General features: G+C 35.3%; 1 protein-coding gene across 4 annotated transcripts in view; it reads left to right on the forward strand.

Moving 5' to 3' along the window:
• The window catches only part of MTBP (MDM2 binding protein), a 78,218-nt gene that overhangs the window by 14,939 nt on the left and 50,166 nt on the right, over window positions 1-13,113 (forward strand). For all 4 annotated transcript variants that reach the window (XR_928318.3, NM_022045.5, XM_011516962.3 and 1 more), the window contains exons 9-11: window positions 804-898; window positions 3,335-3,404; window positions 10,463-10,580. Coding sequence is in view for 3 of the 4 variants with exons in the window: in NM_022045.5 (NP_071328.2) it covers window positions 804-898; window positions 3,335-3,404; window positions 10,463-10,580 (283 nt within the window). In the remaining variant the exon portion in view is untranslated. The remainder of the gene's footprint in view (window positions 1-803; window positions 899-3,334; window positions 3,405-10,462; window positions 10,581-13,113) is intronic.

Here is a 13,113-nt window from a genome sequence, read left to right on the forward strand (position 1 = left end):
CTGTATATGTATAGACACACACACTGTATAAACACATATGTTTATGATTATAGATATATATACACTTAATCATGTATGGTGAAATTACTCTGCTTTTTACAAGTCTAAAACTTTGTGTAACCTCTTCAAGAAGTGTGCTCTTTTCTTTGCCTTTCATGTGAAGCACCGTGGCTCCAACTACTGAAATAGCCTCCCTTCAGTAACAAACTCTAATTTGGTTTTAGGCTTTACCCAAGAAATACAGTACCGAAATTTTATTTTTTCTGAATGGAGCTTTCTATGTTAATTAGCACATGCTGGCTTCACTATCTCTCTCTGTAATTTATTTAGTCTTTTCACTAGAATTTTTTTTTTCTAAATGTCAGTGTACCACTCAGCCTAAGTTCATCCTGGAGTGTCTTTTCTTTCACTTTTTTAGTCTGCAGATTCCACCTGCAGAGGTAGGTTGCTAATTTGTTTCTTCAACACTATAGCCTATTGTATCACCTGTCTGTCTCGTTGAAGATAAACAGCAAAAGTTGAGAACGCTTGTCCTCTGTTGCTTACCTCTTCCCATACTTATTTTCTCCTGTGAAAGCTCTTCCTGGTTACTAAGTGATCTCCATGTCTGTTTCTGTACCCTGAAAGGTAGAATTGAAATTGAAGAAATTCTGGTCTGCTATAGAGGATTAAATGCTAGGCATGCTTAATGTGTAAAAAGTTGCTTTTTAAGATCCATTTTAAAGTTTTAAACCCTTAATCACTAATTTGTTTACTTTTGTTTATGGTATTTAAATATTACACAATTTTAATTTCTTTTCTAGGTTTTCCATTATTATGGCCCTGCTTTAGAATTTGTGCAGATGATAAAATTATCAGATCTACCCTCCTGCTATATGTCGGATATTGAATTTGAGTTGTATCCTTTCATTTACATGTTCATTTTAGATTACATTTTCTGTGTCAGGTAGAATGTTCTGGTATTGTCAGGTAAATATACATGTTAGGTATATCTTTTTCATTATATTCACTGTTTTAATGTTGATGTTCAAGTAGGCTGCTGGACTCCTTATTTTTGGAGTTGCTGGGGAAGGAAGTTCTTGCTTTTCCCACCACCTGGATCCTATACCTATTTTATCAGAAATCTTCCTCCCTATGCAAGCATCTTTATTTTTGTTCAGTATTGTTGAGACTTTTCTATGGATAGGGCTATGGAAATAATACAGAAGTGATTGAGCCTTGCTTCTTTAATGCAATTATAATGTTCTCTGCTTGAGCACAGGACTGATCTACTCTCACACCTAGCCTAGCATTAACTGCAACTTTGTCCTTCCCACCCACTGCCCAGACACCACCACGTATATATTTTATGTGCTTTTGTTAACTTTACTATTATTTTTTATAGTTTTAATGCTTTTTGGAAATAATTTCCCTTTTCCTGAAATCCAGGAATACATCTCCATGACTTCTGTGTTTTACTCAATATGTTTCTGCTGAAGAAGTCTGTAACTGCAATATATCATAGCATAGAGTAAGCACTCAATATTGTCAGATGAATGACTTTGGATTATGTCAGCCTAAATCAAAATACTCATTATTTTCTTATTGAAAGTTCTTTGCTGCAGAAAAGATAACATATACAAAGGTGTAGGAGAACGTTACCCAGCTGAGAACTGTTTGTAGTCTAGAATCATTAAAGAGTAGTGGTTTTTTGGCTTGGGGGTGTTGAGGGCAGTTGCTAAGTGATCAGATTGGAGAGCCTTTTCAGATTAATCAGGTCCTAAAAGACCTTACGTATCATGATTGGGGTTAAATTCTATCCTAAAGATAATGAGGAATCATACAAGGATTATAAGCCAGACATAGCTTAATGAAAAGTAAATTTTAGATCATGCTGGTAGGATTTTGGAAACCTGAGCAAAGCTCGAACTAAACAAGTGGCATTTGGAATGGAGAGCCAGGAAAAGTACACGATGTGTTAAAGATGTAAAATCAACACGGTATTATGATTTATTTATTACATGCGGAGAAAGTGAGAAGGCCAGAGAGTGTAGTTGATTCCCTATGTTGAAACTGGTGTCACTAGTTGAGATAACATGAGGTGAGCCATTTTCGCAGAGGAAAAGGAATTCAGGTTCGGGTAGTTGGAGTGGTAATGTACATTGTAGTAAAAAGCATAATAGGTAGTTTAAAAAATTTTTTATCCATTATACATTACTGTTGAGAACCATTTAGCCAGCATGCTACCTGGCAGTATAACTAGACGTTACTTTCAGATATAATCTATTATTAATACTTCTTTTCTCTGTCCTCATCTGTTAGCAGCTTGTAGGTCAGAAGCTATTTGATGTTTTTATCTTATATTAGATTCTTGTCTTAGACCAATGGTTTTCAAACTATCTTCCAAGGAAAGTCGAGGACTGAGTTCTTCAGATAATGGGATTGAAAGATAAGTTGAGTGGGCATGGCTCTTGGCCCCCTCCTACTGCAACCAGAGCAGCACCTGTTCTACCCTAAATATTGGGTTTCCATATAAAATGTCACTTGCAAAAAGTTGCTGCATTAAAAAGGTTTGCAAAGTGCACTGTAAACTGTTTTCATGGTACCACCCAACACTTAGATGTTTGGCCGTGTTTTTACATAATATTCAGTATACTTTTTGCTACCATTATGTTAAGAAAAGTTCTACAACTTGAAAAAAAAAATCTTCCCTCAAATACTGTATTTATGCTTTTAGAATAGGCAGAGGACTTCCTGGTATATGGTGTAGAGAGGAGGGAGAAATGTTAGGAATCTGTGGAAAATAAAACAAGTAATTTATAAACTTAAAAAATGTTTAAATGTTTCTCCTGCCATCAGCATGAAGAAACCTAAGAATCAGTCAGCTGATGTATCATTTTATGTATTTAAGTAAATATAAATGGTATCACATGTATCTGCAAATATATTCAACATATTTTAAACTCTCTTTTAAAAATATATAAGCATGTTTAGAAATACACCTAAGAACAGAACATTTTATATAAAAAGAAATTGTTATTGGCTGGAAATGAAACACTAGCATAGTGTTTTTGAATTTTTATTTAGGAGCTACAGTTTTTATAAATTTCTTGTTCTTATAGTTTATAGTAATGCTCTATATAGTAGCACTGTTTCTTAGCATATTTTCAGAATCAAACAAATAATTGGAAAAATACTTATCCTTAGGGAAAGGCGTAATTGTTAACTGCTACAGTTAAATTTTTTAATAGATGAATTTAAGCAACTGTGGAAGAATTGAAATAATGAAACTTATTTTAAGGAGTACATTGTTTCATGGGTACCATTACATCATTTCTTTAACTCCTTAGTACAGAGGATTGACAAACAGTACCAAACAGAATTCTGTGTTGCTGTTGGAGCAGATTTCTTCTCTGTGTAGCAAGGTATTGAGGGTTTCTTGGGGGTTTTTTGTTTGTTTGTTTTTATACTTGCCATTTAAGGATGTGTAAGAAAAGGGAATGTAACTTATTAATCTGTTTGCTTGATGACTTGGTTTCTTTAATGTAATATAGGATAATTTTGGTCCTAACTCATATTAAGATACTTTGGACTTTTCATAATAACTGTAAAAGTACTCTGCAAACATAAGTGACATTTTGTTTTTAGGAGATATTTTCAGAAATAAGCTTTATGACTGGTAATTGCTTTAAAGTTTTAAAATTTTATAACATGTTATTGTTAACCTACTTCTTCAACATGCGATTTCAATTTTATGAGAAGACATTCATATACTTGCATTCTTTTTCTCATTGTAGGGCAGGGGATGAAAGTGGAAAAAGCTAAAGTTCTACTAAATTGTCATTTGGGAGTTTTCAATTTTTCTTTCTAAATTCTGATGATGTTTAGGAGATTTATGGCTACTTTAACAGTTATTTTGTATATATAATGATGTAAAATTGGTATATTTTTAACTTTAAAAAAATTACAATATAAAGAATTTTAAGTGGACTCATCTATTTGAAATCAAATTCAGTTTCTAATAGGAAAAAGTGAAAGTTTGCTTTTTTTCTAGTTATTTATTCAACTGTTATGTTTCTGTGAAAACAATTTTTAATGCACAAAATCTTTATTGGCAGTACTTACATTACATTTTCTTATTGTTTTAATAACAAGTAGACTAGCAAATAGTCCTGCAGGGAGAAAGTGATTATTATAATTATAACAGTTTCCCTATGGTGCTAAAATCAAGTCTTGGTTATAATTCCTATAGAAAATCGATATAGTAAAGGAAAAATGATTTTGACCTTAAGATGTATATTTGACTATATAGTAACTTAAAATTTTGGCTTCTGGCCTCTTTTTCCATAAATTTAATAGTCCTTTGAATAGGACGACAAAGTATTTATTTGATGAAGTGGCCTTTACCAATATTAACCTGGCTTTCATCCTCTAAGAATAACTAATTTACTAAATTTTGAAATTTTAAAATTTATCTTTTATCATTTATCCAACATATATTCTACTGTGTATGAGGTACTATACTAGATTTCGGGAACCCAGTAATGAAGTGTACAGAAGAAGCTTCTGTATTTGTGGAACTTACATTTTAGGGGACCAACAGAAAATAAATAACTACAGACATAATAAGAATTATGAAGAAATAAACAGCCTGAGATAGGGAATAAGTCAAGAGACCCTAGTTTAGATAGAGATTAATAAGGCCATACATTTCTCCAAACTATTTGCAGAGACAGCTTATGAATTAGTATATATTTTTTAAGTGCACTGAGAATAAAAAATACCCTGCTTCTATTTTAATCCAGGTAGCCAAGTAGCTCTCTGTATATCCCTGTCCAGTCACCTAATTTTTTGGAGATGCTTCCTTGTATGGATTGAGAAAATTGTTATTTATCATTAATTATCTATATTGCCAAATAAGGGAGGAAAGGAATATAGATGGTATAGTAGAAAGTCTTAAATAGAAGAGCATGTTTTTTAGAAAACTTGACTTTAAGCCATAGCTATGCCACTCACTGGCTTACAGCTCTTAATATTGTAAACTGGAAATAATAATCCCTCTGTTACCTATTTCAGAGTTGTAATAAAAACCAAATTGAAATGTATTTTATAAACTACCAAGTATGATATAAATGATGGTTGCTAACTAATTTTTTATTGTCTTTGAAGTTTATGTGGCCCAAATGATGGACACACATATGTGAAGCAGTTTCCTTAAAAGTATAAAGCGCTAGATATTAGATATTCTCTAAGTAATTTGAAGGTATGATGAAATTTATAGAAATTTTACAGAGAAATTTGTAGAAATCTTATAGAGACTTTTTTTTTTTTTTTTTTTTTTGAGACGGAGTCTCGCTCTGTCACCCAGGCTGGAGAGCAGTGGCGCGATCTCAGCTCACCGCAACCTCTGCCTCCCGGGTTCAAGTGATTCTCCTGCCTCAGCCTCCCAAGTAGCTGGGATTACAGGCATGTGCCACCATGCCTGGCTAATTTATAGAGACTATTTCAAGTCAAAATGAGATCTGTACCTATAGTTTAACACAGGTGTAACATAAGCATTAGTCCATCTAGTTATTGAAGATAGGCAACACTAATCCTAGAAGCACCCTAAACTATTAATGTTTAATAATATATTTTCAGTTGTTTTGTTTTAAATTTGTTGTATTAGATTATCATTTTTTCTTCTCAAACCATGATTGTAAAATATTACAACATACTTTATTAGTAAGAAATAGAGACTTTATAACTATGTTCCCAGTTCAATGCAGCAAAAGGGATTATTTTTGAAGCCATATATTATGTAACTTAGAAAACAAATCTAAATATGAAGTAATTTATTTTTCTTAAACATTGAGTTATGATTTGTTTTTTACTCTTTTTTTTTTTTTTTTTTTAGACGGAGTCTCGCTCTATTGCCCAGGCTGGAGTGCAATGGTGTGATCTTGGCTCACTGCAACCTCCGTCTCCCGGGTTCAAGCAATTCTCCCGGCTCAGCCACTCAACTACCTAGAACTACAAGCATACACCACCATGGTTGGCTAATTTTTTTTTGTATATTTAGTGGAGACAGGGTTTCGTCATGTTGGCCAGGCTGGTCTTGAACTCCTGACCTCAAGTGACCCACCCACCTCGGCCTCCCAAAGTGCTGGCTTTACAGGTGTGAGCCACTGCACCTGGTCATTTTTCACATTTTTGAAAAAGTGTTTAATTACATACCAGTTCTTTGAAATCTAGTGCTTTATAACTTGGGTTTCAGCTGGGCGCGGTGGCTCACGCCTTTAATTCCAGCACTTTGGGAGGCCGAGGCAGGTGGATCACCTGAGGTCAAGAGTTTGAGACCAGCCTGGCCAACATGGTGAAACCCCATCTCTACTAAAAATACAAAAAATTAGCCGGGCAAGGAGGCGCTTGCCTGTAGTCCCAGCTATGCGGGAGGCTGAGGCAGGAGAATCACTTGTACCCAGGAGGTGGAGGTTGCAATGAGCCAAGATCACGCCACTGTACTCGAGCCTGGGCAACAGAGCGAGACTCCGTCTCAAAAAATAAATAAATAAATACCTTGGGTTTCATTTATTAAACAATTAATTTTTTTAAAAATGTTTTTACTGCTGCTATCTGCCAGATGCTTGTTTGTAATATTGGATAGAATAAGATGGACAGGCCCTTTCTCAAGAAACTTTCATGGTGCTTAAATTCTATTGCTTTGTGTGATCTTCAGTCAGCATCTTAGCTTAAACAAATTATTTATCTATGTAACTATGATTAGCCCCAGAATATAAGTAAAAACTTCTTGGAGTAAAGCTTATTTTACTAATAATTAAGCTAGATTAGGAAAAGACAAGATAGGATTGTTAGGGAGTTATGATGTTCACTAATCTTCTGGCTGGGAAATATTTCTTCAGAGAGAGGAATTTGCAAGCTAGAAACATGATTTCCACAATGACTGCTTGTTGGAGAGGACCTACTGAAAAGATTTAATCAAGATTTTGAAACTCAGGCCAGGTGCAGTGACTCACGCCTGTAATCCCACCACTTTGGGAGGCCAAGGCGGGTGGATCACTTGAGGTCAGGAGTCCAAGACCAGCCTGAGCAACATGGTGAAACCCCGCCTCTACTAAAACAATAGAAAATATTATCCAGGCGTGGTGGCATGCGCCTACTTGGGAGGCTGAGGCGGGAGAGTCACTTGAACCAGGGAGGCAGAGGTTGCAGTGAGCAGAGATCACACCACTGCACTCCAGCATGGGCAACAGGGTGAGATTGTCTCAAAAAAAAGATTTTGAAACTCAGATTTGAAATGTTATTTGGCGTTTATATTCTGGAGATAGAATGATAGCTTGAACAGATCATCCTCAAGTCTCTCAGAGGTTATCTAATGATTAGTGTATGGGTGAGAACAAGTTATCAGCACCTAAGTGTATTAAGAATGCATTATAAACAACTGACAATTTTATTTTGTAGGGAATTATAGTTTGTGTGATTTAGAAATACTTATTTTCATATTTGTAGCAAATGTCTAGTCAATTTCAGTCTGTCTCAAAAGTGTGGCCATTTCAGCTAATGGGTCCCACCACATTTATATTAGGTTATAAGTAATGCATTGAACTGCATTTAGCATCCCTAAAATGTTGAGAAAGCTATAACTGGGACTCAGTCTGGCATACTCACATTACAGCCTTGTCCACCTTTTTAACCGTACAGTCTGGTCACATTTTTTGGGTTATGAAGTCTTATGTATGCAAGAAAGAACTAGGATTTAGTGTCGAGAAAATTAGATATATTTTTTATATTTAATGATTATTTTCTATTGCTAAATATTTTTATTTTTAATTTCTAATTCTTAACTACATAAAATATATTTGACTTTAAAAAGATTATGGCTATAATAATAAAGAAAAATAAGCATATTTCTTTTAACCTTTCTTATTTTGTTCCTAACATATTAGGTTGGTGTAAAAGTAATTATGGTTTCAGACCATGAATTTTAAGTCATTATAACTAGGCTCAAACACATCTTTATGAATAAAAATAGAAACCATTACAATCAACACATTTTTGCCAATGATAATTAAGTTTTTTTATTCCTGTAGTATAAAAATCCATGCTTTGGAATTCTACGAACTCTTGGAAAGCGTTTTCTGCATCCTGCCTTGCCTGTGGAAGCATTTTCCCTGCAAAAAGTTGTTGAGATGCTTGAGGAAGTGGCAGTCAGTTGGTGAGAGGTCAGGTGAATATGATGGATGAGGCAAAACTTTGTAGCCCAGTTCATTCAACTTTTGAAGCATTCATTGTGTGACGTGTGGTCAGGCGTTGTCATGGAGAAGAATTGGGCCCTTTCTGTTGACCAATGCCGGCTACAGGTGTTGCAGTTTTTGGTGCATCTCATCGATTTGCTGAGCATAAGTCTTAGATGTAATGGTTTCACCAGGATTCAAAAAGCTGTCATGGATCAGAATGGCAGCAGACCAGGAAACAGTGACCATGACCTTTTTTTTAGTGCAAGTTTGGCTTTGGGAAGTGCTTTGGAGCTTCTTTTCGGTCCAACCACCAGGCTAGTCATCGCCCACTTTTCATCACACAATCTGATCGAGAAATTGTTCGTTGTTGTGTAGAATAAGGGAAGATGACACTTCAAAACAACAATTTTTTAAATTTTTGCTCAGCTTATGAGGCACCTACTTATTGAGCTTTTGGGGGTTTATTTATTTATTTTTTTGTTTTGTTTTTGAGATAGAGTCTCACTCTGTTGCCCAGGCTGGAGTGCAGTGGCTCAATCTGGGCTCATTGCAACCTCTGCCTCCCAGGTTCAAGCAATTCTCCTGCCTCAGCCTCCCAAGTATCTGGGACTACAGGCGTATGCCACCATGCCTGGCTAATTTTTGTATCTTTAGTAGAGACAAGGTTACACCATATTGGCCAGGGTGGTCTCGAACTCCTGACCTCAGGTGATCCACTTGCCTCGGCCTCCCAAAGTGCTGAGATTACAGGTATGAGCCACCATGCCTGGCCTTATTGAGCTTTCTAATTTGCTTCAAATGCCAAATGACCATAGAATGGTCGACAATGAGTTCTTCTGCAACTTCTTGTGTAGTTGCAAGAGGATCAGCTTCGATCATTGCTCTCAATTGGTTTTTGTCAGCTTCCTATGGCCGGCCGCTATACCACTCATCTTCAAGGCTCTCGTCTCCTTTGCAAAACTTTTTGAACCACCATTGCACTGCATGTTCGTTAGCAGTTCCTGGGCCAAATGCGTTGATGTTGCAAGTTGTCTCCACTGCTTTATGACCCATTTTGAACTCGAATAAGAAAATTACTCACATTTGTTTTTTGTCTAACATCATTTCCATAGTCTAAAATAAACATAAACAGCAAGTAATAAGTTATTAGCCAGAAAACATAAAGCGAGAAATGCTCATTAAAATGATGTATAACATAACCACACTTATTTAAGAACATATTCCAATATCAAACGGCAAATTTCAACAGTGCAAAAACCACAATTACGTTTGCACCAACCTTAATATTTATTTTTATATCTGTGAATTAAGAATGCATAAGTAAAAATAATAGCAACAAAACATTAAAATATTAGTGATCATGTATTTCATGTAACTAGTCCATCAATATAGGACAGTTAAAAGTGGTTTTGCACTAGCTTTAAGATCTTTGGCAAATGCTTTGCCTAAATTTTCCCAAAGTTTTAAAATGAAATACTTTTTACTGAGATGTGATTGATATAGCTGCATTTCTAAAATAACAGGAAAAATATAGCTTTCAGAACTGTGGTTTGTTTTATTCAGCCCTTAATAAACTGAGAATTTACCTAAATAGATTATGGTGATTTTGTTGAACCAATATTTAATAAGCATCTGTATCCCCAGCCCTGGCAATACAAAGATGAATAAGCAGAGTTTGCTCATAAATCAGTCAGAAGTTGCTGTATGTTTTCTAGCATATAATTCATTGTCTTCTCCTCAGTTTTTACCTATTAGCATTAAATCTCTGATTTCCAGGAACAAAGTTTCTGAGTTGCCTTCAAATGTATTTTAATTTTGAAACTAGAACAATAATACATCTAGTCAAGAAGTTATAAGATGATGGTTGAATATAACAAAATATTTTGGTGCTAGAACTCAGCCTTACACTGTTTTGTATATATACAAATAAATTATGTCCACAACCTGAACTTGAAGCAAATATTGTGTATTTTTCAGAGATGTATACCTCAGTGGAAAAGGGAAGCCTGTAGCTTTGAATGCCTTTGCTGTTTTTGTTTGTCTGCATTTTAGCTTTTATTTTGTTTTGTTTTGACAGAGGGTGGGCCATTGTTCTTACTTTTTAGTTTTTATAGTGGAGTTTTTGGGAGAGGGCATTACTAAATGCATGTTACATTGGTGAAATATGAGTGGAAAATTGTCAACTGGCACTATTCAAGAATGAATCTCAATGTGCAATCAATAAAAATATGGTCTGTTTTATTCAGGTTGGTGCTCTTTTTGTATTGCCATGTACCATTAGTAACATACTGATTCCACCTCCCAACCAACTCAGTTCAAGAAAATGGAAGGAATATATAGCTAAAAAGCCTAAAACAATCAGTGGTAAGTATTACATGTTTCGGTTGTTTTAATGATGCAGCATAGTTAATGTATGTATCAAATTTGAAGTGAAGATAACATTTCTATATGAGAAAACAGGATTTCATATTATTGCTACTGATTACCAGGAGTCCACATCATTTTAAGATTTTTAATTGCAACCTACTGTAACATAAAGTATCTCTAACCATATTCATTTAAAATGCTAGTGATCTAAAGGCAGAACTCTTGGTTCATTAGATAGCTAATTATACTGAACATGGGTTTTTTAGAGACATTTCAGGAATCAAATTTGTGAAAAGAGCAGTTCATTTATTATATGGTACATAAAAAACCTGTGATAATTTTTTGAAGAAATTAGTAGAAGTTATTTATTTATTTATTTAGAGATAGAGTCTCGCTTTGTCACCCAGGCTAGAGTGCGGTGGCACGATCTTGGTTCACTGCAACCTCCACCTCCTGGGTTCAAGTGATTCTCCTGCTTCAGCCTCCCAAGTATATGGGATTACAGGCACCCACCACCATGCCTGGCTAATTTTTATATTTTTAGTCGAGATGCGGTTTCACCATGTTGGCCAGGCTGGTCTCGAACTCCTGACCTCAAGTGATTCACCTGCCTCCGCCTCCCAGAGTGCTAGGATTACAGGCGTGGGCCACCGCACTTGACCTAAAGTTTTTTATTTAACAGTTTAACTGTATGTTACACAGTATTCCAAGTATTCTATTTTAGAAATATTGATTCATTTAATTTTTGTAATAACCCCATATACTTATTTTTATCCCCATTTTACAGATGAAGGAATTGGAGCTTAGAGAAGTGACAGAGCTGTTAATTGGCAGAACCTACGGCTCTGTCACTTCTCCAAGGGTTTGAATCTGTGCTCTTGTGCTCTTTACCACTACACTGTGTTTCCACTCTGTTCCTCTAGTATGTTCAAGATGTCTTTATCCAAATGAAAATTTCTGTTATAAAATCAGAGATTAAGTCCAAACCCTAGTATTTCATGAGGTGATTCTGGCTTAGAATGTTAAAATTGCTTTCCCAAAGTCACATTGGTGAAGTGTGTTCCATCATACTTTGGCCTTGATGTGTGTTTTTTAAATTGAACAAAAATTGTTTACTTTTTTTTTAGCTTATAGTTTTTGTGACCCATAATGTGATGGGACTAAGAACTGTAATTGAAACTATTATGAAGAAATCTGTAGAAATACTCCACAGCGCCCTTGAATTTTGAGGAATACAGTTTTAAAATCAGTAGCTTATACAGTACAGATTTTCTATTTTTCTGTATAAGAAACAGGAGAGATACTGAATTCTATTTTAGCAGATGTTGAATTTCAAATGTAGGTAAGATATCTATGTGGAAATTTAAATGTAGAGTTTGAAATTTAGATACAGATCTCTAGGTAATAGTCAGGGCTGGAGATCTAGATTTTGAGTTTTCCAGCAGTTTTGTTTATCTATTGCGTAATAAGCCACCCCGAAACTTAGTGGCTTGAAAGAGCAAACATTTTATTTGCTTATAGTTTGCAGTCTGAGCTGCCCTCAGCAGAGTAGTTCTACTGATCTCACGAGAAGTCATTGATGTGGGTGTTTTGAACTTGCAGATGATTTGGAGGCTGGGTTCAGTGGAGCTGGCTGGCTTTCTCTCTCCGTTTAGTCTTAGAGCCTTTTCCTTGCCACATGGTCTTCTCAGATGATCTCTCCTGCAAGTTAGCTGGAATTTTTCCATGGTGGCTCAGGACAAACATATAGAACTTGAAACTACCAAGACTTTTTAAGGCTTAATCCCAGGACTAGCCCAGTCTTACTTCTGTTACATTCCGTTATTTAGAGCTAGTTACAAGAATAGTCTAAATTCAAGGGGGAAGTACCTATCCAAAGGTGTGAATAATAGGAAGCCACCAATGTAAAAAGTCTACCATAGGTGCCTGTAAGTTAGGAATGTAGAATGTTAGTTAGGAATGGTTGAAAACAACAATACATAAAGAACATGGCTAGAGAAGAGAGCCAAGGATAGGGTCTTTAGAAATATAGTCATCCCTCAGTATCCACTGGGGATTGGTTCCAGGACCCCTGTGGATAACAAAATTCCTAGATGCTCAAACCCCTCATATAAAATGGAGTAGGAGTTGTATATAACTTCTGCACATCCTCCTGTATATTTTACATCATCTCTAGATTACTTATAATGCCTGATACAATGTAAATGCTATGTAAATACTTGTTATGCTATATTCTTTTTTTAAATTTGTATTCTTCTTGGTTATTAATTTGTTATTTTTAAATTTTTTTTGGAATATTTTCAATTCGTGGTTGGTTGAATCCACAGTGTGAAACCCATGGATGTAGAGGCAAATTGTACCTGCATGTAAGGTGAAAGTGGAGAAAAGTTAGGAAATGATATGGTAAATGGTCTTTGGAAGACCCTAGCAAGTTATCGTTAACATCAGCATTAAAATACCATTTATACAGAGCGTGGTGCAAAGTGTGGGAAATAAAGGAGCATCAAACTGGGTTTTTACACTTAAGGAA

This window comes from Homo sapiens, chromosome 8 (assembly GCF_000001405.40).
Source record: "Homo sapiens chromosome 8, GRCh38.p14 Primary Assembly".
In the NCBI taxonomy this organism is placed as follows: Eukaryota; Metazoa; Chordata; class Mammalia; order Primates; family Hominidae; genus Homo; species Homo sapiens.